This window comes from Homo sapiens, chromosome 10, assembly GCF_000001405.40.
Source record: "Homo sapiens chromosome 10, GRCh38.p14 Primary Assembly".
In the NCBI taxonomy this organism is placed as follows: Eukaryota; Metazoa; Chordata; class Mammalia; order Primates; family Hominidae; genus Homo; species Homo sapiens.
In genome coordinates this window covers 72,416,921-72,443,569 of record NC_000010.11, presented here as the reverse complement: position 1 = coordinate 72,443,569, position 26,649 = coordinate 72,416,921, and the positions used below count along the sequence as shown (strand labels likewise).

General features: G+C 41.7%; 1 protein-coding gene across 24 annotated transcripts in view, besides 1 other annotated feature; it reads left to right on the top strand.

Annotated features, from left to right (window-relative positions):
• The window catches only part of MICU1 (mitochondrial calcium uptake 1), a 258,740-nt gene that overhangs the window by 182,510 nt on the left and 49,581 nt on the right, over positions 1–26,649 (top strand). For all 24 annotated transcript variants that reach the window (NR_199811.1, NR_199809.1, NR_199810.1 and 21 more), the window contains one exon: positions 20,199–20,336. Coding sequence is in view for 21 of the 24 variants with exons in the window: in NM_001441228.1 (NP_001428157.1) it covers positions 20,199–20,336 (138 nt within the window). In the remaining 3 variants the exon portion in view is untranslated. The remainder of the gene's footprint in view (positions 1–20,198; positions 20,337–26,649) is intronic.
• Positions 20,284–21,017: an enhancer, noted in NCBI's record as "H3K27ac-H3K4me1 hESC enhancer chr10:74182311-74183044 (GRCh37/hg19 assembly coordinates)". NCBI's record gives its function as "activates a minimal SCP1, AML or CMV promoter by ChIP-STARR-seq in primed H9 embryonic stem cells {active_cell/tissue: H9 hESC(primed)}" and the evidence as "EXISTENCE:reporter gene assay evidence [ECO:0000049][PMID:30033119]".

Here is a 26,649-nt window from a genome sequence, read left to right as displayed (position 1 = left end):
TGGATCCCTTCCTTATACCTTATACAAAAATCAATTCAAGATGGATTAAAGACTTAAACGTTAGACCTAAAACCATAAAAACCCTAGAAGAAAACCTAGGCATTACCATTCAGGACATAGGCACGGGCAAGGACTTCATGTCTAAAACACCAAAAACAATGGCAACAAAAGCCAAAATTGACAAATGGGATCTAATTAAACTCAAGAGCTTCTGCACAACAAAAGAAACTACCATCAGAGTGAACAGGCAACCCACAAAATGGGAGAAAATTTTCGCAACCTACTCATCTGACAAAGGGCTAATATCCAGAATCTACAATGAACTCAAACAAATTTACAAGGAAAAAACAAACAACCCCATCAAAAAGTGGGCGAAGGACATGAACAGACACTTCTCAAAAGAAGACATTTATGCAGCCAAAAAACACATGAAAAATGCTCACCATCACTGCCCATCAGAGAAATGCAAATCAAAACCACAATGAGAAAACTATTTTCAAAAAATAAAGGACAGACCAGGCACTGTGGCTGATGCCTGTAATCCCAGCACTTTGGGAGGCTGAGGCAGGCAGATCACCTGAGGTCAGTAGTTCGAGACCAGCCTGGCCAACATGACGAAACACCATCTCTACCAAAAATACAAAAATTAAACGGGTATGATAGCCCGTGCCTGTAGTCCCAGCTACTCAGGAGGCTGAGACAGGAGAATTACTTGAACCCAGGAGGCAGAGTCTGCAGTGAGCCAAGATCACACCACTGCACTCTAGCCTGGTGACAGAGCAAGACTCCGTCTCAAAAAAATAAAGGACAATATAATGCAAAGCATACTCTTCTGTTAGGTCTAGACCTTACCTACTGTAATAGCACTGAAGACTAAGGAAAGTTTAATATGTTTTGGAAAAATCAGTAAGTAGGGCATTTGTACAAATAGATGAAGGAGAACAACATGCCAGGCAAGGAAAATGGCATAAAGAAAAGCACAAACGCTTAGCATAAAACAAGTCGTCTTTTAGAGCCAAGTCTTGTCCAAACTGATGAAACTTTCCTTTGGAATACATGTATAAAATAGATTGGATTCTCCTTACTGTAGAAGGTCTCATGTTTACATTTTATCGCTATGAAAATTGGCCAGGCGTGGTGGCTCACGCTTGTAATCCTAGCACTTTGGGAGGCTGAGGCGGGTGGGTCACCTGAGGTCAGGAGTTCAAGACCAGCCTGTCCAACATGGTGAAACCCTATCTCTACTAAAAAATACAAAAATTAGCCAGGCATGGTGGTGTGCACCTGCAGTCCCAGCTACTCAGGAGGCTGAGGCACAAGAATTGCTTGAACCTGGGAGGAGGAGGTTGCAGTGAGCCAAGATTGCACCTGGGTGACAGAGTGAGACTCCGTCTCAAAAAAAGAAAAAGAAAAAGCATTAGGCACATGATTACAGTTTATATTGCATATTTTAGGGAGCTGATGACTAATTTGCTTCATGCTGGAGCCCACTGAAAATGGATACCCTCTTTGCCTCTATTAGACAGGTTTCGATATTCTAATCATTAGATTGTAGTCTACTGACTTAGAGAGTTTTCTGCTTTTACAAATAAAGGTGACAGATGAAGAAATATTTGCCTCTCTCAAGTTGCTTTTTAAAGATATTGACTTGAGACCGGGTGTGGTGGCTCACGCCTATAATCCTAGCATTCTGGGAGGCCAGGGTGGGCGGATCACTTGAGTACAGGAGTTCAAGTCCAGCCTGGCCAACATGGTGAAACCGCATCTCTACTAAAAATACAAAAAAATAGCTGGGCATAGTGGTGCATGCCTGTAGTCCCAGCTACTTGGGAGGCTGAGGCACAAGAATCACTTGAACCCAGAAGGCAGAGGTTGCAGTGAGCCTAGATCGTACCACTGCACTCCAGCCTGGGCAACAGAGTGAGGTTCTGCCTCAAAAAAAAAAAAAAAAAAAGAAAAATTAAAAATAAGTGAATAAATATATTGACTTGGTTTTTTATTTCTTTTTTTTTTTTTTTAAATAATTTAAGTTCTAGAGTACATGTGCACAATGCAGGTTTGATACACAGGTATACATGTGCCATGTTGGTTTGCTGCACCCATCAACTCATCATTTACATTAGGTATTTCTCCTAATGCTAACCCTTCCCCAGCCCCCCACCCCCCAACAGGCCCTGGTGTGTGATGTTCCCTGCCCTGTTCAAGTGACCTCATTGTTCAGTTCCTACCTATGAGTGACAAAAACCAAACATGTGGTGTTTGGTTTTCTGTCCCTGTGATAGTTTGCTGAGAATGATGGTTTCCAGCTTCATCCATGTCCCTGCAAAGGACATTAACTCATCCTTTTTGTGGCTGCATAGTATTCCATGGTGTATATGTGCCACATTTTCTTAATCCAGTCTATCATTGATGGACATTTGGGTTGGTTCCAAGTCTTTGCTATTGTGAGTAGTGCCGCGATAAACATACATGTGCATGTGTCTTTATAGTAGCATGATTTATAATCCTTTGGGTATATACCCAGTAATGGGATTGCTGGGTCAAATGGTAATTCTGGTTCTAGATCCTTGAGGAATCACCACACTGTCTTCCACAATGGTTGAACTAATTTACAATCCCACCAACAGTGTAAAAGTGTTCCTATTTCTCCACATCCTCTCCAGAATCTGTTGTTTCCTGACTTTTTAATGATCGCTATTCTAACTGGCATGAGATGGTATCTCATTGTGGTTTTGATTTGCATTTCTCTGATGACCAGTAATGATGAGCATTTTTTCATGTGTCTGCTGGCTGTATAGATGTCTTCTTTTGAGAAGTGTCTGTTCATATCCTTTGCCCACTTTTTGATGGGATTGTTTGTTTTCTTCTTGTAAATTTGTTTAAGTTCTTTGTAGATTCTGGATATTAGCCCTTTGTCAGATGAGTAGATTGCAAAAATTTTCTCCCATTCTGTAGGTTGCCTGTTCACTCTGATGGTAGTTTCTTTTGCCATGCAGAAGCTCTTTAGTTTAATTAGATCCCATTTGTGTATTTTGGCTTTTGTTGCCATTGCTTTTGGTGTTTTAGTCATGAAGTCCTTGCCCATGCCTATGTCCTGAATGGTATTGCCTAGGTTTTCTTCTAGAGTTTTTGTGGTTTTAGGTCTAACATTTAAGTCTTTAATCCATCTTGAATTAATTTTTGTATAAGGTATAAGGAAGGGATCCAGTTTCAGCCTTCTACATATGGCTAGCCAGTTTTCCCAGCACCATTTATTAAATAGGGAATCCTTTCCCATTTCTTGTTTTTGTCAGGTTTGTCAAAGATCAGATGATTGTAGATGTATGGTGTTATTTCTGAGGCCTCTGTTCTGTTCCATTAGTCTATATATCTGTTTTGGTACCAGTACCATGCTGCTTTGGTTACTGTAGCCTTGTAGTATAGTTTGAAGTCAGGTAGCGTGATGCCTCCAGCTTTGTTCTTTTGGCTTAGGATTGTCTCGGCTATGCAGGCTCTTTTTTTTGTTCCATGTGAACTTTAAAGTAGTTTTTTCCAGTTCTGTGAAGAAAGTCATTGGTAGCTTCATGGGGATGGCATTGAATCTATAAATTACCTTGGGCAGTATGGCCACTTTCAGGATATTGATTCTTCCTATCCATGAGCATGGAATGTTCTTCCATTTGTTTGTGTCCTCCTTTATTTCATTGAGCAGTGGTTTGCAGTTCTCTTTGAAGAGGTCCTTCACAATCCCTTGTAAGTTGGATTCCTAGGTATTTTATTCTCTTTGTAGCAATTGTGAATGGGAGTTCACTCATGATTTGGCTCTCTGTCTGTTATTGGTGGATAGGAATGCTTGTGATTTTTGCACATTGATTTTGTATCCTGAGACTTTGCTGAAGTTGCTTGTCAGCTTAAGGAGATTTTGGGGTGAGACAGTGGTGTTTTCTAAATATACAATTATGTCATCTGCAAACAGGGACAATTTGACTTCCTCATTTCCTAATTGAATACCCTTTATTTCTTTCTCTTGCTTGATTGCCCTGGCCAGAACTTCCAACACTGTGTTGAATAGGAGTGGTGAGAGAGGGCATCCTTGTCTTGTGCCAGTTTTCAAAGGGAATGCTTCCAGTCTTTGCCCATTCAATATGATATTGGCTATGGGTTTGTCATAAATAGCTCTTATTATTTTGAGATACGGTCCATCAGTACCTAGTTTATTGAGGGTTCTTAGCCTGAAGGGCTGTTGAATTTTGTCAAAGGCCTTTTCTGCATCTATTGAGATAATCATGTGGTTTTTGTCATTGGTTCTGTTTATGTGATGGATTATGTTTATTGATTTGTGTATGTTGAACCAGCCTTGCATCCCAGGGATGAAGCCAACTTGATCGTGGTGGATAAGCTTTTTGATGTGCTACTGGATTTGGTTTGCCAGTATTTTATTGAGGATTTTTGCATTGATGTTCATCAGCGATATTGGTCTAAAATTCTCTTTTTTTGTTGTGTCTCTGCCAGGCTTTCATATCAGGATGATGTTGGCCTTATAAAATGAGTTAGGGAGGATTCCCTCTTTTTCTATTGATTGGAATAGTTTCAGAAGGAATGGTACCAACTCCTTTTTGTACCTCTGGTAGAATTCACCTGTGAATCCGTCTGGTCCTGGACTTTTTTTGGTTGGTAGGCTATTAATTATTGCCTGAATTTCAGAGCCTGTTATTGGTCTATTCAGAGATTCAACTTCTTCCTTGTTTAGTCTTAGGAGGGTGTATGTGTCCAGGAATTTATCCATTTCTTCTAGATTTTCTAGTTTATTTGTGTAGAGGTGTTTATAGTATTCTCTGATGGTAGTTTGTATTTCTGTGGGATTGGTGGTGATCTCCCCTTTATCATTTTCTATTGTATCTATTTGATTCTTCTTTCTTTTCTTCTTTATTAGTCTTGCTAGCAGTCTATCAATTTTGTTGATCTTTTCAAAAAAACAGCTCCTGGATTCATTGATTTTTTTTGAAGGGTTTTTGTGTCTCTATCTCTTTCAGTTCTGCTCTGATCTTAGTTATTTCTTGCCTTCTGCTAGCTTTTGAATTTGTTTGCTCTTGCTTCTCTAGTTCTTTTAATTGTGATGTTAGGGTGTCGATTTTAGATCGTTCCTGCTTTCTCTTGTGGGCATTTAGTGCTATAAATTTCCCTCTACACGCTGCTTTAAATGTGTCCCAGAGATTCTGGTATGCTGTGTCTTTGTTCTCATTGGTTTCAAAGAACATCTTTATTTCTGCCTTCATTTCGTTATTTACCCAGTAGTCATTCAGGAGCAAGTTGTTCAGTTTCCATGTAGTTGTGCGGTTTTGAGTGAGTTTCTTAATCCTGAGTTCTAATTTGATTGCACTGTGGTCTGAGAGACAGTTTGTTGTGATTTCTGTTCTTTTACATTTGCTGAGGAGTACTTTACTTCCAATTATGTGGTCAGTTTTAGAATAAGTGTGATGTGGTGCTGAGAAGAATGTATATTCTGTTGATTTGGGGTGGAGAGTTCTGTAGATGTCTATTAGGTCCACTTGTTGCAGAGCTGAGTTCAAATCCTGGATATCCTTGTTAACTTTCTGTCTCGTTGATCTGTCTAATATTGACAGTGGGGTGTTAAAGTCTCCCATTATTATTGTGTGGGAGTCCAGGTCTCTTTGTAGGTCTCTAAGGACTTACTTTATGAATCTGGGTGCTCCTGTATTGGGTGCATATATATTTAGGATAGTTAGCTCTTCTTGTTGAATTGATCCCTTTACCATTATGTGATGGCCTTCTTTGTCTCTTTTGATCTTTGTTGGTTTAAAGTCTGTTTTATCAGAGACTAGGGTTGCAACCACTGCTTTTTTTTGTTTTCCGTTTCCTTGGTAGATCTTCCTCCATCCCTTTATTTTGAGCCCATGTGTGTCTTTGCACATGAGATGGGTCTCCTGAATACAGCACACTGGTGCGTCTTGACTCTTTATCCAATTTGCCAGTCTGTCTTTTAATTGGGACATTTAGCCCATTTACATTTAATAAGGTTAATATTGTTATGTGTGAATTTGATTCTGTCATTATGATGTTCACTGGTTATTTTGCCTATTAAATTATGCAGTTTCTTCATGCTAATCAATGGTCTTTACAATTTGGCAAGTTTTTGCAGTGGCTGGTACCGGTTGTTCCTTTCTATGTTGAGTGCTTCCTTCAGGAGCTCCTGTAAGTCAGGCCTGGTGGTGACAAAATCTCTTGGCATTTGCTTGTCTGTAAAGGATTTTATTTCTCCTTCACTTATGAAGCTTAGTTTGGCTGGATATGAAATTCTGGGTTAAATTCTTTTCTTTAAGAATGTTGAATATTGGCCCCCACTCTCTTCTGGCTTGTAGGGTTTCTGCCGAGAGATCTGCTGTTAGTCTGATGGGTCTCCCTTTGTGGGTAACTCAACCTTTCTCTCTGGCTGCCCTTAACGCTTTTTCCTTCATTTTAACCTTGGTGAATCTGACCATTATGAGTCTTGGAGCTGCTCTTCTCGAGGAGTATCTTTGTGGCATTCTCTGTATTTCCTGAATTTGAATGTTGGCCTGCCTTGCTAGGTTGGGGAAGTTCTCCTGGATAATATCCTGAAGAGTGTTTTTCAACTTGCTTCCATTCTCCCCATCACTTTTAGGTACACCAGACAAACGTAGATTTGGTCTTTGCACATAGTCCCATATTTCTTGGAGGCTTTGTTCGTTTTTTTACTCTTATCTTTTTGTTTTATTTCATTAATTTGATCTTCAATCACTGATACCCTTTCTTCCACTTGATCGAATCGGCTGCTGAAGCTTGTGCATACGTCACGAAGTTCTCATGCCATGGTTTTCAGCTCCATCAGTTCATTTAAGGTCTTCTCTGCACTGTTTATTCTAATTAGCTATTCATCTCATCTTTTTTCAAGGTTTTTAGCTTCATTGCGATGGGTTCGAACATGCTCCTTTATCTTGGAGAAGTTTGTTATTACCGACCTTCTGAAGCCTACTTCTGTCAACTCGTCAAAGTCATTCTCTGTCTAGCTTTGTTCTGTTGCTGGCAAGGAGCTGCGATCCTTTGGAGAAGATGCGCTCTGATTTTTAGAATTTTTAGCTTTTCTGCTCTGGTTTCTCCCCATCTTTGTGGTTTTATCTACCTTTGGTCTTTGATGTTGGTGATCTACAGATGGAGTTTTGGTGTGGACGTCCTTTTTGTTGATGTTGATGCTATTCCTTTCTGTTTGTTAGTTTTCCTTCTAACAGTCAGGTCCCTCAGCTGCAGGTCTGTTGGAGTTGGCTGGAGGTCCACTCCAGACCCTGTTTGCCTGGGTATCACCAGTGGAGGCTGCAGAACAGCAAATATTGCAGAACAGCAAATATTGCTGCCTGATCCTTCCTCTGGAAGTGTCGTTCCAGAGGGGCAGCCGCCTATATGAGGTGTCTGTCAGCCCCTACTGGGAGGTGTCTCCCAGTTAGGCTACATGGGGGTCAGGGACCCACTTGAAGAGGCATTCTGTCCATTTTCAGAGCTCAAACGCCGTGCTGGGAGAACCACTGCTCTCTTCAGAGCTGTCAGACGGGGACGTTTAAGTCTGAAGAAGTTGTCTGCTGGCTTTTGTTCAGCTATGCCCTGCCCACAGAGGTGTAGTCTAGAGGCAGTAGGCCTTGTTGAGCTGGGGTGGGCTTCGCCCAGTTCAAGCTTCCCGACCGCTTTGTTTACCTACTCAAGCCTGAGCAATGGTGGACACCTCTCCCCCTGCCCAGCTGCAGCCTTGCAGTTCGATCGCAGACTGCTGCGCTAGCAGTGAGCAAGGCTCCGTGGGCGTGGGACATGCTGAGCCAGGCACCGGAGAGAATCTCCTTGTCTGCCAGTTGCTAACACCTTGGGAAAAGCACAGTATTTGGGCAGGAGTGTCCCGTTTTTCCAGGCAGTCTGTCACGGCTTCCCTTGGCTAGGAAAGGGAAATCCCCCAACCCCTTGCACTTCCCAGGTGAGGTGACACCCCGCCCTGCTTCAGCTCGTCCTCCGTGGGCTGCCCCCACTATCCAACCAGTCCCAGTGAGATGAACCAGATACCTCAATTGGAAATGCAGAAATCACTCATCTTCTGCATCGATCATGCTGGTAGCTGCAGACCAGAGCTGTTCCTATTCAGCCATCTTGGAACGCCCCCCACTTTTTTTTTTTTTTTTTTTTTTTTTTGTAACAGGGTCTCACTCTGGCCCAGGGTGGAGTGCAGTGGCATGATCATAGCTCACCGCAGCCTTGAACTCCTGGACTCAAGTGATCCTCTCACTTCAGCCTCCCAAGTAGCTGGGACTACAGGCACATGGTACCATGCCCAGCTAATTTTTAAATTTTTGTAGAATCAGGTCTCACTGTGCTGCCCAGGCTGCTCTCGAACTCCTGGCCTCAAGCAGTACTCCCACCTTCCCTCCAAAAGTGCTGGGATCACAGGCATGAGCCACCATACCTGGCCTTTATTTCTTCATTTTTATTTTTATTTATTCAGTTACTCACAATGATGAGGAGATAATCAACTATGGATTACTAAGCCCAAAGTAAATCCTATATCTTAATTATTATCATTACTTCCTAACAGCTTTTCACATTTGTTACTGCTTTCCACAGTTTGCCACATCTTTAGGAAAAATCAGCATATCAAGCCTGGTATAGGGGTCTTTAGGTGTTGAGTATATGAACAAGCTAAATTTCCAACTCTCTTATGAATGCTGATAAGCTGTCAGCAATGCTAGGACAAAAGGAGTGTGGGAATGTGTTGTATTAATATTTTCATCTAAGCAGTAGATCCCAGAGTGCTCTTTGATGGAGTTAGAGGAAAGCAAACTGGCACTCAGGTGAGAGAAAATAGCAGTTTGCTTTTCTACTACAATTAGTCCTTGGTTCTTAACTCCTAAATTTGGAGCTGTTATATTTTGTTCTAACAGACAGTCTCTCTGTTTCCAAAACTCTTACAATCCCATATGAAAAGAAGAACATCTTTGAACTCTGAATAATGTTGGGCCTCCTAAATCTCAGAGAAGTATGTAACACAAGACTAGGGTTTTTCATGTTATTGAAAGCAGAAATTGGATATAAGATCTTCTGCTTGCTGAAGAGTCATCTAAAAGGAAAAATGGCATGAAATTTTTAGCAATTTCATGTGGAAACATGAACTGCATAGATTGGTTGGAATATTAAATAGCAGTTAATTCTGCCAGAGTTTAAGGCTTATTCATATTGATCAAGGTCTGAAGGAAAGATAACCAACAAGTTTTATGTAATTTAAAATGCTCTGCGAGTTGATGGAAAGCACTTAGTATAGGCTCTGGTACATAATAAGTGCTATGTAAATGTTTGCCGTTATAAATGTTAGAATATGGATTGTTCTTTAACCATCTAGAGAATTTTTCTAAGTAAGGAAGATGGCCCATTTAGGCCTTCTTTGTTTTGGAACTGAATTATTATTTCCCACTTTCTCCATCTCTCCATACCTAATGACATACATTTAAGCTGGTTAAAAAAAAAAAAGTTAAGTGAACTGGATTTACTCAAGATTATTCCTTCCACAAGGGGAATGTGATTAAATTAGAGGTAAATGCCCCCATTCTATTCCAAATTCCCAAGCACTCAGAGAAGTTAAAGTCAGTACTGGAGGACTTTTTAAAACAAACTGAGCTGATGATCTGCTGTTTTGTTCTAAGGATTTAATCATCGTCATTGATTGATATTGAGGAATATGTTTTAATATTTTATGTTTCCTTGTTTAAAATAAAGAAACTGTAGGTCAATATTTAATTACTTTCTTATCTAATGAGGAAAGATTCCCAAGAATATAAGCCAATGAAAGAAGTTGTAGGCTGGGCACGGTGCCTCACGCCTGTAATCCCAGCACTTTGGGAGGCTGAAGCGGGTGGATCACCTGATGTCAGGAGTTCGAGACCAGCCTGACCAACATGGTGAAACGCTGTCTTTACTAAAAATACAAAAAAATTAGCCAGGCGTGGTGGCAGGCGCCTGTAGTCCCAGCTACTCTGGAGGCTGAGGCAGGAGAATGGTGTGAACCTGGGAGGCGGAGCTTGCAGTGAACTGAGATTGCACCATTGCACTCCAGCCTGGGCGACAGAGCAAGACTCCATCTCAAAAAAAAAAAAAAAATACAAAAATACAAAAATTAGCTGGGCATGGTGGCATGCACCTGTAATCCCAGCTACTCGGGAGACTGAGGCAGGAGAATCACTTGAACCCAGGAGATAGAGGTTGCAGTGATGAGCTGAGATTGTGCCACTGCACTTCAGCCTGGGCAACAGAGCAAGACTCTGTCTCAAAAAAAAATTGCGAAGAAAAAGCCAGGCACCAGTGGCTCACGCCTGTAATCCCAACACATTGGGAAGCCAAGGCAGGAGGATGACCTGAGGTCAGGAGTTCAAGACCAGCCTGGCCAACATGGTGAACCCTCATCTCTACTAAAAAATACAAAACATTAGCTGGGCATGGTGGTGCAGACCTGTAATCCCAGCTACTCGGGAGGCTGAGGCAGGAGAATCACTTGAACCTGGGAGGCGGAGGTTGCAGTGAGCCGAGATCGTGTCACTGCACTCCAGCCCAGGTGAGACTCCGTCTCAAAAAAAACATAAAGGAAGAAGAAGATCCACGCATTTGCCTACAATAAAGATTTTAAATTTCCACACATAAAACAGACCTAAACAAAATTAACAGATGGGCAAACTGAGTGATGTGGTTTGGATATTCGTCCCCTACAAATCTCATGTTGAAATGTGACCCCCGCAATGTTGGAGGCTGTGCCTAGTGGAGGTGTTTGGGTCGTGGGAGTGGATCCCTCATGAATGGCCTGGTGCCGTCCCCATAGTAATGAATGAGTTCTTGCTCTCGTTCACATGAGAGCTGGTTTTTTAAAACAGCCTGGAACCTTCCCCCTCTCTTTTCCTCTTTACTCTTGCCATGTAATATGCCTGCTCCCACTTCAACTTCCACCATGTCTGTTAGCTCCCTGAAGCCTTCACCAGAAGCAGAGGCTGGCACCATCCTTCCCCTATAGCCTGCAGAACCAAAATAAACCTCTTTTCTTTATGAATTACCCAGCTTCAGGTATTCCTTTATAGCAACACAAATGGACTAATACACTGGGCAAAAAAATTGGCAGGCAGGGTGGCTCATGCCTGTAATCCCAGCACACTGGAAGGCCAAAGTGGGAGGATCACTTGAGGCCAGGAGTTTGAGACCATCCTGGGCAACAGAGGAAAACCCCGTCTCTACAAAAAGAAAATTTGGTTTTTATATTTATTTGTATTAAATTTTTTAGAAACATAGCTGGGCATGGTGGCACACGCCTGTAGTCCTAGCTACTCAGGGGGCTGAGGTGGGAGGATTGCTTGAGCCCAGGAAGTTGAGGCTGCATTAAGTGTTGATCACACCACTGTGCTGCAGCCTGGGTGACAGAGTGAGACCCTGCCTCAAATTAAAAAAAAAAAAAAAAAAAGGCAATACATTAACAAAAAGCAAATATTTTTAATCTTAAGCTAATGAGACAAGTATCAGCACTGCTATTTTTAAAAATAGACAACATAAAAAATTCACAGAGGAAGAAATATAAATGACCACTACATATGTTAGAAAAATGGTCAACCTAGTAATCAAAGAAATACTAATTAAAATGAGTTGTCACTTTTCCTCTAGCAAAGATTTTTTATTATGTTTGATTTTGTTAAGGATACTAAGAAATGCATATTCTCATATATACTAGTGGGATTGCAAATTGATACATTTTTCTGGAAATTAATTTGGCAGACTACATTGGGAGCATTAAATAGTTTATCTCTACCATTTTTAGACCGAAGAGAGTGGCAAAAAATAAAAACTGACAATACCAAGTGCTGGTGGTGATGCAAAGCAGTGGGCACTCTTATACATAGCTGATAAAAAGTGTTGGTGTGATTATTTTGCAGAATGATTGGGCATTATCTTGAAAGGCCGGCAGTTCCACTTCCAGATATATACCCTAGTCTCAGAACTCTTGTTTTTCTTTCATCAGCACAGTTATCTAAGAATGTTCATAACAGCATTGTTCCTAATAGCAAAAAACTGACAATAATTGAGATGTCCATTTAGAGGAAAGCTGATACGTAAATAGTGGTAGAAGCTGGGCACGATGGCTTACACCTGTTATCCCAGCATTTTGTGAGGCCAAGGTGGGAGGATCACTTGAGGCCAGGAGCTCGAGACCAGCCTGGGCAAGATGGCGAAACCCTGTCTCTACCAAAAATGCAAAAATTAGCTGGCGTGGTAGTGCTCGCCTGCAATCCCTGCTACTCAGGAGGCTGAGGCATGAGAATCACTTGAACCTGGGAGGCAGAGGTTGCAGCGAGCCAAGATCACACCACTGCACTCCAGCCTGGGTGACAGACCAAGACCCTATCTCAGAAAATAGATAGATAGATAGATAGATAGATAGATAGATAGATAGATAGATAGACAGACAGATAAAGGTATATTCAAAGCAGTAGAAATCTGTAACAGTAAAAATGAAAGAAGCACAGTTAAATGTTGTAACATGTAGGAATCCTTGAAATATAATGAGGATTAAAAAAAACAAATTGCAAAAGAATATATCCACTGTGATACCATTTTATAAAGTTAGGAAGCAAGTAAAAGTAAACAATATATTGTTTAGGAATACAAGCTTTTGTTTTAAACTATTGAAAATAATAGGCCAGGTGCAGTGGCTCACGCCTGTAATCCCAGCACTTTGGGAGGCTGAGGCTGGCGGATCACCTGAGGTCAGGAGTTCATGACCAGCCTGCCAATGGAGTGAAACCACGTCTCCACTAAAAATACAAAAATTAGCCAGGCGTGGTGGCGCATGCCTGTAGTCCCAGCTACTCAGGAGGCTGAGGCAGGAGAATTGCTTGAACCTGGAAGGTGGAGGTTGCAGTGAGCCAAGATCACGCCATTGCACTCCAGCCTGGGCAACAGAGCGAGACCCTATCTAAAAAATAATAATATTAATAATGTACTAGAAAAGGGAGGCAGGGCATGGGCTTCAAATGGAGTGCCGATGCTTCCTTTCTCAGGGTAAGTGGGAGGCTCGTGGTGTTTGTTTTATTATGCTTCATAACTTGTCTGTTATATGTATTATTATGTATATGTCAAATATTTCACAATAAAATTTTAAAGATCCCATAATTTATATTTCAGAATTTTGTTTCTAGGGATCAATTCCTAAAATAATGATGAAAAATTAAGTTCAGCAAAAGTTTATCAGAGTGGTACTTACCATAGACAAAAAATGAAACAGCCTAGATGTCCAATACCATTTTTTTAAATCTTGCCTTTTTCAAGAAGGGATTTCAGAAATTCATAAAAAGTACAGGCAGTGAGATAAAAGTAAAAACTTGCTGAAAATTAAAGTTAAAAGAAAGAAGAAAGTAAAAGAAAGCCTAACTTTCTTTTAAGAAAAGTTAAGTAAGGTTAGTATGAAAAGTGTAAGTCATAATGTCTCCTATTCTAGAAGAGGCCCACAAACTTGACTATAAGCTTTCCAGTAACCAGGATAAAAAGGCAAACATGATTCACGTTGACTTTAAAATAAGAACATATCAACTGTTCTGATACTGAGACCAGAGAGAAATTTCTCTCCACATTAACTGTGTGGGCAAGTTATTTCACTTTTCTCTGTTTTTGAAATAGAATAATACTATTACCTATTATATAGCATTGCGAGAATTAACAAAGGTTAGTTCCTAGGATGGCACCTGGCAAGTATAAGCACTCAGATATGTTACTGATTAGCCAAAATGAATGGCATTCTCAAGACTATCCTTATAGAAATCAGTATCATGGAGGTAGATATTAAGAGATAAACGTAGAGATATTCCTTGCCTTAGATAGGAAACCCTCCCAACAATAGGACAGAAGTGTTGTGAATTTTCTGGTGTTTTGTCTGTGTTCATTCAATACATATTTATTGAGCTCTTTCTTTATGCCAGGTTTTCTGTTTTATAATTATGGCCAGGGTACAGGTTATTAAGTTGGTGTTCTGCTTCAAGAAACTCTAAGTAGTTTAATCTTAAAGTCATTCTAATGTGTTGAATAATAAATAAAATTAATTGCTACATTTATTGAATTTTTTTTCTTTTTTTTTTTTTTTTGAGGCAGGATCTCGCTCTGTCACCCAGGCTGGAGTGCAGTGGCACGATCTTGGCTCACTGCAACCTCCACCTCCCAGGTTCAACTGATTCCCTTGCCTCAGCCTCCCAAGTAGCTGGGATTACAGGTGCACACCACCAGACCCGGCTAATTTTTATATTTTCAGTAGAGACAGGGTTTTACCATGTTGACCAGGCTGGTCTCAAACTCCTGACCTCAAGTGATCCTCCCACCTTGGCCTCCCAAAATGCTGGGATTACAGGTGTGACCCACCACACCCAGCCCATTTATTGAATGTTAACTGGGCCTCAAACTCTGTACTAATTTCTTTACATATATTATCCCATTTAATCTTTACAACAACACTTTGAGGTCACGAATATTATCTCTATTTTTTGGTAAGAAGATTTGAACCCTCGGAACGGGTAAGCCACTTCCTTGAAGTCACAGCCAGCAAGTATGGGTTCAGGCCAGAATTTGGATCCAGGCCTTCCTGATTGTAAAGTCCATATTCTTAGTCACTTCAGTATATTACCTTCTGTGGAATGAAAACAAAACATATCAAACCTTGAAACCTTTTGTTCCAAATCTAAAATATTTTTCCCTGACACCCTCAGTCAAATATTTCCTGATTGTTATTATCTTGTAATAAATTCATGCATTAATCTTATTATCTTCGTGGTTTTGGCTGTCAGGCTGGAGGGTTAACCTTTCCCTGGTCTGACTGTTGTGATTGGTACTCATCATTTAGTCAGTTGTTTTGATCACCAACCTGAAATTTTTTCTTAAAAACCATTTTTAAATGGAAGGAGGCCAGGTACAGTGTCTCACGCCTGTAATCCCAGCACTTGAGGCCGAGGCGGGTGGATCACCTGATGTCAGGAGTTCGAGACCAGCCTGGCCAACTTGGTGAAACCCCATCTCTACCAAAAATACAAAAAATTAACCAGGCATGGTGGTGAGCGCCTATAATCCCAGCCCACTTGGGAGGCTTAGGCAGGAGAATTGCTTGAACCTGGGAGGCAGAGGTTGCAGTGGAGATCGCGCCATTGCACTCCATCCTGGGCAACAAGAGCAAAACTCCATCTCAAAAATAAAATAAAATAGAAGGAATGTTTGGATTGGAAGTAGAAAGCTCTAGCAGTTGAGTTTGGTAATCTATAATCTTATGGACCAAGACTCTAATGACTTGTTTTGGCCCCTGCTGAAGGCACTAAACTGTGTTGCCTCTGTTCCAGATTGTGAACCTTCTTCCTCAGTTTGCCAGCTACTCAAAAGACAACCTTGTTAGTGTTTGCAATAAAGCTGCCTCTTTAAAGATCAAGAAAATTCAGACTCCTGGCAGTCTGACCTGGGCTCTTGAGTGTCCCTTGTCAATTGCAGTAACATAGATTTCAATTCAAACTATGAAATGTGTATGTCATGCTCACCGGGTAGGTTTACAGTCGAGAACTTTCCTTGTAATCATTTTCCTTTAGATGGGCATAACACAGTTATTCTGAGACTCCTGATAGTGGCAGTGGCATGGTTAGGACCTCAAAAGCCACATACTATCAGATTCAAAAACACAGATGTGTTCAGCTCAGTGGCTTGAGATCACTATGCAGTCTTGCATTGCACAGTTCAGAAGCCTATCAAGAAATTTATCATTCATATATATATATATATATATATATATATATATATATTTTAGAGATGGGGTCTATGATGCTGAAGCTGGTCTTGAACTCCTGGGCTCAAGCGATCCACCCATGTCAGCCTCCGAAAGTGCTGGGATTACAGGCATGAGGCACTACACCTGGTCCCCAAAATTTATCATTCTGAAAACTTGTATGAGGAGAGGATTTACTCTGGGGGATGGACAGAGTCTCTTGAAAGATAACTGTATGAAAGAGAAGGCTGAAGTTTACATTTGTTGGATACATTAACCTCAAAAGTCTTCAACAAATGAAGACCCACTTGCAGATACTGATTTCTTTTTCCTTTTACTGTGCTTCTATTCTTACTTTTGGCCTTTGTTCATAATATATGTTTTCTTCCTTTCCTGGCTTCTCATTCTTAAGTCATTTCATCCAGATACGTGTAGACCATCTGTCCTTCCAAAACGACAAGGGACGGATGGGAACAAGAGGCGCAGTGTGAACAGAAAGCCAGGAAAAACCTTGCAGTTTTTTGGCTCCTCCTTGCCTACCCTGCAGCCCCCTGGGGAACAACAGGGAAACAACAGCTTGTATCCATTTGAGAAAGTGGCAATGGCTGCAGAAGGGGAAATGTGAGGCTGTTAAGCTCTCTTCCTAGACACGGAAAAACAATGCAGATGGTGGGTGGCATGCTGGAATACACACATGCTGTGCCTCAGAATCAAACACAGTGGAGGCTTTTAATTTTCATTGAAGTAGAACATCAGAGGTTCCAACATTAGTGGAAAATAGCTTGGGTGAAGTAAAATATAAGCCTGTAATTTGAATTTCTTCCAAATATGCAATTAGAACTTTTCTACATTATGATAATTTTGTAATAACCTGTGTCTTTCCTCAAAAGATCCTCCCACAACCTTGGGGATTGATTACATGTATATGGCACTCCAGGAGTGCACCCACAGGATTGTCCCAGCTTAAGATAGCGGTTGAGTATCCCTTATCCAAAATGCTTGGGACCAGCAGTTTCAGATTTTGGAACATTTGTGTTATACTTACTGGTTGAGCATCACTAATCCAAAATTCAGGCCGGGTGCTGTGGCTCATGCCTGTAATCCCAGCACTTTGGGAGGCCTGAGGTGGGCAGATAGCTTGAGCTCAAGGGTTTGAGAACAGCCCAGGCAACATAGGGTACCCCCATCTCTACAAAAATGCAAAAATTAGCCAGGCATGGTGGTGCATGCCTATAGTCCCAGCTACTCAGAAGGCTAAGATGGGAAGATCACTTGAGCCTAGGAGGTCGTGGCTGCAGTGAGCCATGATTGTGCCACTGCACTCCAGCCTGGGTGACAGTGCAAGACCCTGTCTGAAAAAAAAAAAAAAAAATCCAGAATGCTCCAATAAGCATTTCCTTTTTGCATGATCTTTGAGCAACGTGTTGGTGCTCAAGAAATTTTGGATTTTGGGCCAGGTGCAGTGGCTCACGCCTGTAATCTCAGCACTTTGGGAGGCCAAGGCAGGCGGATCACCTGAGGTCAAGAGTTTGAGACCAGCCTGGCCAACATATAGTGAAACCTTGTCTCTACTAAAACTACAAAAATTATCTGGGCATGGTGGCACATGCCTGTAGTCCCAGCTACTTGGGAAGCTGAGGCAGGAGAATCACTTGAACCCAGAAGGCGGAAGTTGTAGGGAGCCAAGATCATGCCACTGTACTCCAGCCTGGACAACAACAACAAAAAAAGTTGCTCAACAACAAAAAAAGTTTTGGATTTTGATGCATTTCAGATTTGGGGTTTTTGGATTAGCAATGCTTAACCCTGCATACACTTGACCCCTGCAGCCACATGATGTCTAGCTATTGCCCTTGAAAATTTAACCCGAATGAAGGTCCTTGAGATACTGCCTTCAAAGTTCCCTAGCCTTAGCATAGTGGTCTTCAGTTAATAAATTTTGAACAAATAGGACATTAGTTCAAGTCTGTTTCCATTAGCAGTTTTGCGTGTAAAGAAAAACAGCTCTCCATGGCTCCCTCCAGCCATGTTTAAGACCTCAGAAATAAGGGGGTTCCTGCCTCAGAAAAGCCTAAAAACCTAAAAGGAGAGGTGCTGCCCAAAATCAAATTATAGAACTGAAGTAGTAAGCGTCGAAGTGGCCATACGACTTGGACAAGCAGAAGTTGATTGTTTTTAAGCCCTTTCAGATTCCAGTCACTTAAAAATAATCATAATAGAGCCCATTACCAAAAGACAAGTCTGAGTTTTCAAAGAACATTAGTAAAAATGCTAATCTTGGAATTGCTGCTTGGGCATCTGCACTGGAAATTGACCTTACTGTCTGAAACAAAACAGAGGCGAGGCCTTGTGCCCCTATGAAGAACAGAGAATAAAGGCCTTTTATAAGCCTTGAGCAAGCTGCAGCTGCTGCCAGTGTTACAAACAAGAAACTTTTCAACCATGAATCTATCTGGTGAGATAAAGCTGAAAATTCATCTAGTTCCAACATACGGGATTGCCCCACAGCTGTGAAACCTCCCAGATAAGGGTAGAATGAACACTTTAAATCATTAAAGTCGGCCCTGGAGAGCAGGGAGCACAGCCTTGTTTCACATGCCTTGAAGAAGCCCATAGGTGAACTTTTACCCAGGTTTCAGATTTCACTGAAAATCTGATTTAAACATTGCAAAAAGTATGCCCATTTAGAAAATTTTGTCAGTCCTTCACTTTGTTTCAGGATAGTAAATTGAGTCATAAATCACACTTAAATTGAATCCTGAAAACTTTTGGTATTGTCAAAAATTTATCAGCTCTATAGAAAGATGGTGTGACAAACATCAAAAATTGAGTGGCAGTGTTGAAAAAGAGGCTTTCACCTAATATTGATGATGTTGATTTCTTTAGACATAGTTTTGTGTCTCATTTAAATGTGACTAAGCCCCATGGCTGTATAAGTTTATCCAAAACAACACAGTGCTATTGTACAGGAAGCGAATGTGCCACTGCTCAGAAGTAGGAAATGGTGTGGTGTTGAGAGATAGTCTTTGGACCCAAATAAGGCTGAGTTCAAATCCCAGCTCTGTCACATGTAGCTGCATGTTACTTCAGTTTTCTCATCTGCAGAGTGGAGCTAATAGTAGCTGCTCTGTAGGCTGTTATAGTGACTATATGAGGCCAGGCACAGTGACTCACACCTGTAATCCCAGCACTTTAGGAGGCCAAGGCAGGCAGATTGCTTGATCCCAGAAGTTCAAGACCAGCCTGGCAACATAGCAAGACCCCCATCTCTATTTACAAAAAAAAAAGTAATTAAAAAAAAGAACATATTGGTGAAGTACCTGGCCCATAGTACATACTCAGTAAATGGTCACTGTTAGGCCAGCCATGGTGGTTCATGTCTGTAATACCAGCACTTTGGGAGGCCGAGGCCAGTGGATCACCTGAGGTCAGGAGTTCAAGACCAGCCTGGCCAACATGGTGAAACCCTATCTCTCCTAAAAATACAAAAATTAGCCAGGCGTGGTGGTGTGCACCTGTAATCCCATTTACTCGGGAGGCTGAGACAGGAGAATCGCTTGAACCTGGGAGGTAGAGGTTGCAGTAAACCAAGATCGCACCATTGCACTCCAGCCTGGATGATGAGTGAAACTCCGTCTTAAAAAAAAAGGTGGGGGGGAAATGGTCACTGTTATAGGTTGATACAAAAGTAATTGTATTAAAATACAGTTCTATGTTTTGCTCATTGACACAGTCCCACTACTAAGGAAACAAATTTAGGTCTCTGTCAACTTACTGAGCTAGCTGAAGAAATGAGAGCTGAAAGAGAAATTCACTCTTAACTTTCTTATTTCGTGTCTCATATGTAAGTCCTATCTCTATCAATGTCCTAACATTTTATTGCTATTTTGGGGAAACTTGAAAATATATTACTCTTCTTTAAAATTATGCTCTCAGACCTTTATGAATTTTTTAGAAGAGTAATCAATATTATTATCTTTAAAGCAAAATTAGGAATGCTTCCATTCATAAGATATCAGGATATCGGGATATTGCTGAGTCTGGGTCTGATCAGTAAATGTTATCCATCTGTTCCGTTAACCATAAACATCTAGAGGCTAGGAATACCTAACTTCCTGGGAATGCAGCCCAGCAAGTCCCAGCCTCATCTTTCCTAGACCTTACTCAAGATGCTGTTGCTCTGGCTTGACTGTCTCTGACAATAGTAAGTGGCAGATCTGGGATAAGAACCTATATCTTCTGTTTCTTAGTTTTTGCAGATCTTACTGAGAATTGTACCTCAAAAATATAGTCCCAGTCATCAGCTATTTTCTGCCATCAAACACAGCTGATCATTCCGTGTTCCACGTCAAAATACTTTCCATTGACCCTAGGAACATTCTTTCTGTTTCCCTCCCAGTTTGAACGCCATGACCCTGTGGATGGGAGAATTACTGAGAGGCAGTTTGGTGGCATGCTACTTGCCTACAGTGGGGTGCAGTCCAAGAAGCTGACCGCCATGCAGAGGCAGCTCAAGAAGCACTTCAAAGAAGGAAAGGTAGGTAGCTTTGGCTGGAGGAAGAAGAGAAACCGTGGTAATGTATGGTTATTATTTAATATGAAGGTATTAACATAATGATGAGAGTATTTCATGAACCAATGATTACACCTAATTCATTTCTGGTACCTGAGGTCCGTAGGGAGAAAAGAAATAAGCAATGGGTGAGGAAGAGGAGAGCGTCCAGAATCATCCCAGGTTTCTTGTTCAGGAAAGGGTGGCACCAACTGAAATTGAGAATTTTAAAGGAGAGACCGGTTTAGATGGGAAAATAAAGAATTCAGTCATGGGCTGGTCATGGTTCAAGACCAGCCTGGCCAACATGGTGAAACCCCATCTCTACTAAAAATACAAAAATTAGCTGGGCATGGTGGCGCGTGCCCATAATCCCAGCTACTCAGAGGCTGAGGCACAAGAATCACTTGAAACCAGGAGGCAGAGGTTGCAGTGAGCCAAGATTATGCCACTGAACTCCAGCCTGGGCAACAGAGTGAGACTTCATCTCAAAAAAAAAAAAGAATACCTAAAGAGAGTAGTGAAATCAAAGTCAAGGAAATAGAAGGTTCAAGAACTGAGGGGTCTACCATGTCACATATAACAGCGAGGATCCAGTAAGCTAAAGGTGGTAACATCCATTGGTTTTGGTGAAATGGCAGTAATTGGTGACCTTTGAGAGGGCTGTTTCATTAGAGTAGTCTAGTTGGAAGGCATCCCTATTCGATGAAAAGTACAGAAGCAGAGAAAGGAGAGAGGTGGAAGAGGAGGCTCTGGAAAGTGGGAAATCACATAGGCAAATTCCAAGGCAGTGTATTAGCCTACTGGGGCTTCTGTAACAACATACCACAGACTGGGTGGCTTTAACAGGAAAAATTTATTTTCTCACATTCCTGGAGGATAGAATCCTGTGATTAAGGTGCCAGCTGATTTGGTTTCTGATAAGAGCTCTCCTCCTGCCTTGCAGGTAGCTGCCTTTTCAATGTGTCCTCACACAGGCTTTCCTCAGTGTGTGTACATGAAGAGAGGGAGAAATCTCTTTGTGTTTCTTCTTATAAGAACACTAATCCTAGCAGATTAGGGCCCCACCCTTGTGACCTCATTTAGCCTTGTTATTTCCTCTAAGGCCCCATCTCCAAATACAACCACATTGGGCACAGTAGGGGTTAGGGAGGGCTTCAACATATGAATGGGGTAGGGGGTGGGGTCAGTCCATAACAAGCAGGAAAAACAAACCTGGTATGTGTGAAGAACTGAAAAGGGACTAGTTTGTATAGAAGGTTCTGAGCAAAAAGGAGAGTGGCCTGAGCTGAGCTCAGAGAGGGATATGAGGAACAGAACATGCAAGACTTCATAGGAATGGAGGGAGTTTGGAGTTCACTCACAGTGCAATGGAACGCCATTAAATAGTTGTGAGTAGTGAAATGACATGGTTGTATGTACGTTTAAAGAGACAACTCTGGCTGTTTTATGGAAGATAGTTTGGAGAAGAGCAAGCATAGAAACAAAAAGACTGATAATAAGCCTATTAGAATTTAGGAGATGAGTTAGAGTTTTTTGAGCAGCCTTGAGGTTGGAGAACATGGATTTGTGGAACACTAGCAACACTGCTCTCTGGTACCCTTCAACGCCAGCTGCCCCTGGTACAAGGAAAGAAAAGATGGTGGCTGCGCACGGTGGCTCACGCCTGTAATCCTAACGCTTTGGGAGGTCAAGACACGCAGATCACCTGAGGTCAGGAGTTCAAGACCAGCCTGGCCAACATGGCAAAACCCTGTCTCTACTAAAAATACAAAAATTAGCCAGGCGTGGTGGTGGGCGCCTATAATCTCAGCTACTCAGGAGGCTGAGGCAGGAGAATCGCTTGAACCCGGGGAAGGGAGGGTGCAGAGGGAGGCGGAGGTTGCAGTGAACCAAGATCACACCACTTCACTCCAGCGTGGGAGAAAGAACGAAACTCTATCTCAAAAAAAAAGATAAAGAAAAAAAGAAAGAAAGAAAAGATGATAGGACTGAATCAGCATCTGAGAGAGAGATGAACAAACAGAAGCAGAGACCAGTTAAAAGGTCAGTCCTCATCAGGCATGGTGGCACATACCTGTAATCCCAGCACTTTGGGAGGCCGAGGCAGGAGAATCAAAGTTCAAGACTTGCCGCAATGTAAGACGTGTCTTTTCTTTTTATTTTTCTTTTCTTTTTATTATTATTATTATTATTATTATTTTTTTTTTTTTTTTGAGACGGAGTTTCGCTCTTGTTGCCCAGGCTGGAATGCAATGGCGTGATCTCGGCTCATCGCAACCTCCGCCTCCTGGGTTCAAGTGATTCTCCTGCCCAGAAGTTCAAGACCAGCTTGGGCAAAGTGGCGAAACCTTGTCTCCACAAAAAATACAAAAACTAGCCAGGCATGGTGGCACGTGCATGTAGTCGCAGCTACTCAGGAGACTGAGGTGGGAGGATCACCTGAGCCTGGGGAGGTTGAAGCTGCAGTTAGCTATGATCATGCTACTGCACTCCAGCCTGGGTGACAGAGTGAGACCTTGTCTTAAAAAAAAAAAAAATCCAGGCCTCTAAGAGAACACACACACATAAACACACAAAGCAGTGCTAAGGCTAGAACCCAGATTTTCTCATTCCCAGCCCAGTACTCTTCCCACTGGACAATGGCTACCATCTGACCATGACCAAGAATCTAACCTGGCACTAAAAATGTTCCATGAGAGATTTCCAAGTGTATTAGTCCATTCTCATGCTGCTAATAAAGACATACCGAGACTGGTAATGTATAAAGGAAAGAGGTTTGATTTCACAGTTCCACATGGCTGAGGAGGCCTCACAATCACGGCGGAAGGCAAAGGAGAAGAAAAGACATGTCTTATGGCTGGGCGCAGTGGCTCATGCCTGTAATCCCAGCACTTTGGGAGGCCGAGGCAGGCAAATCACCTGAGGTTGGGAGTTGGAGACCAGCCTGACCAACATGGAGAAACCCCCTCTCTACTAAAAATACAAAAAGTTAGCCCGGCGTGGTGGTGCATGCCTGTAATCCTAGCTACTCAGGAGGCTGAGGCAGGAGAATGGCTTGAACCCAGGAGGCAGAGGTTGCGGTGAGCCGAGATCGCGCCATTGCACTCCAGCCTGGGTAACAAGAGCGAAACTCCGTCTTAAAAAAAAAGGAAAAGACACGTCTTACGTTGTGGCAGGCAAGAAAGAGAGCATGTGCAGGGGAACTCCTTTTTGTAAAACCATCAGATCTTGTGAGACTTACTATCAAAAGAACAGCACATTAAAGACCTACCCTCATGATTCAATTACCTTTCACCAGGTCCCTTCCACGACACATGTGCATTATGGGAGCTACAATTCGAGATTTGGGTGGGGACACAGCCAAACCATATCACCAAGATAGTGTGGCATGGTAGGCATGAAGATGGAAAACTTGAGACTAACTTCTGCCTCAGAGGTTCCCATAGTCATTAGACAAATCACTTAACCTTACTGGCCTCATGAATTGAGAGGCTTATCCTAGATGCTTGCTGTAAGGGCCCTTCTAGCTTTAAAGATTCAATAATTGAAAATAAGATAGAGGATTGCTAGTGCTTGTCCCAGTTTTCCTAGTTAGTCTTTGTGCAAGAAATGTTGCATGCATAGCATTGCCCTAACTTGGTGGAAAACCCTTCTTATCAGCCAGACTTTTTCCTCCTTGTCTTGGATATTGAAAAGTTGAAAGGACCTCTGAACCAGGCTGTGGGCTGCAAATGAGGGCAGGCTGGCTCTGAGAGGAAGTGTCAGCTTCTCTGAACTCAGTCCAGCCTTTTCCCACAGCAGGTGTTCTCTTGGCTGTGGGGAAGACTCATCATTAATGGAAAGTGACAGAGAAAAAACATTTATCTCCCATAGAGCACTTCTACAGTACCCAATACTTAGCTTATATCTGTTGGAAATCGTAATTTCAAAAAACTGATTACGAATGTATAGGTGGATTTTTTACCCCTATGCTGGAAGAATAGTGTTTACATTCAGACATGCTCGTTTATTTAGACCATGCTTATTTTTAAAGGTTGGTCCAGATATTGATTTGACTTTAATTATCTATCATGATAGGTGAATTCATATTTCATTGTGAGTTTACACTTAAAAGCAATAAGGGGCATTGGAGGCATCTCCCTTGAAGGAAGAGTATTTGAGCATTGGCAGGAGTTAATTTAGGATCTGAAGACCTTGCAAAAGAGCTCTAAAATGAAAGGACAAATTTTGTCAGATGATGAAAATCTGCGGTGTTAAATTACTTTTGGCCCAGAATTTCTAGCCTGTGTTAGCAACGAGATTAAGATTGATTGTCCTCTCATGTTGATTAAATAGTTTGTGAACATAGCAATTAACTAAAGTGAGTGTCAAGGAAGGGCCTTTGCTCCTAAGGTTACGAGTCCATCTCTCTAGGACCATTTCCTATAAAAGGGGAATCACCATCTGCTTTCTAATTGCTTCTTTTATTCCACTTTGGATTTGTTAACATGAAAATGTAAGTTTTCATTTGGCTGACATTAATCAGTTTCTGTGTGAGGTTCTGTATCAAGGTATCAAACAAGACCTAAGAGATTGAAGGTCCTAGTGGTGGTATTAAATTTTTGCATATAAATTAATGACCATGCAATGTTTCACAGCCATTTTTCTCTTCCTTTCTAACAGCCTTGTTAGATACTGTATTTTTGAGAATATAGAGACAGAAAGAGAAGTTAATAACCCATTCAGAGTCTGGTCTAAAATCCAAGGCTTCCTATTCCAGATCTTGTCTTTTCCTTAAGAAAGTGCTGTTTCTCCTAATCATACTCTTCCTGTAAAGCAGTGCTTCTCTACTATAGGATCACTTGAGGAATTTTTAAGGAATGTGGTTGTTTGGGCCCTCTTCAAATCAATTAAATCAGAGGCTCAGTAGGTGGGTCCAGGCATCAGTGTTCTGGGGTTTTCTTAACCCTCTGCATGAGAAATTCCAGAAGTGTTTCTTAAAGGGTGATATGGTTTGGCTGTGTCCCCACCCAGATCTCATGTTGAATTGTAGTTCCCATAATCCCCATATGTCCTGGGAGGGAACAGGTGGAGATAATTGAATCATGGGGCAGTTTCCCCCATCCTGTTCTCATGACAATGAGTTAGTTCTCATGAGATCTGATGGTTTCATAAAAGGCTTCCCCCTTCACCAGGCACTCATTCTTCTTCCTGCTGCCATGCGAAGAAGGATATGTTTGCTTCCCCTTCTGCCATGACTGTAAGTTTCCTGAGGTGTCCCTAGCCCTGCAAAACTGTGAGTCAATTAAACCTCTTTCCTTTGTAAATTACCTGGTCTCAGGTATGTCTTTATTAACAGCATAAGAACGAACTAATACAAAGGGTCCCCAGGTAAATCTAATGTGCAGCTAGGCTTATGAGCCACTGCTCGAGAGATGCAATGCTCCATCAGTGTCTCTAGCTGTTTTATCTCTAAGTAATAGTTTGAAGAACTGGGGAACCTGCCGTGCTTGACAAAAATTACTCTATTGATGCTCTGAAAAACCACCATGTTTTTATTTAACAAAGAGTTTTCTGAGACTTCATAAATGTAATTCACAGTGGTGATCCTCTATGTTTATGAATGCAGAAGCTACTAACTAGTAACTTCTTAAGGATGAAATTGAAAATTATAACTCAGTTCAATGGCAGACATTGCTGTGTGCAAGACACTAAGCCAGGTGCTGTGAAAAAGACCTTCCCTTATCCTTACAACTATATTTCTTTTTTTTTTTTTTTTTTTTGAGACGGAGTCTTGCTCTGTTGTCTAGGCTGGAGTGCAGTGGCCTGATCTCGGCTCACTGCAAGCTCCGCCTCCTGGGTTCATGCCATTCTCCTGCCTCAGCCTCCTGAGTAGCTGGGGCTACAGGTGCCCACTGCCACGCCTGGCTAATTTTTTGTGTGTTTTTAGTAGAGACAGGGTTTCACCATGTCAGCCAGGATGGTCTCGATCTCCTGACCTCGTGATCCACCCGCCTTGGCCTCCCAAAGTGCTGGGATTACAGGCGTGAGCCACCACACCCAGCACAACTATATATATTTCTTAAGTCTGTAATAGTCTAGTAAGAGAAAAATATGTATGCAAAGAACTCTGTAATTCTATATTCACATTTATATTCAATATTTATCGATCAGCCACTATGTGCCAAGCAGTCTTCTAAATACTGGGAATGCAGTAGTGAGCACACCAGTGTCTGCCTCATAGAACTTAGCATTCCTACTGGAACGAAACAGATTTTAAACAAATATAAAGCAAGGTAACTCACTTAGCTTTGAG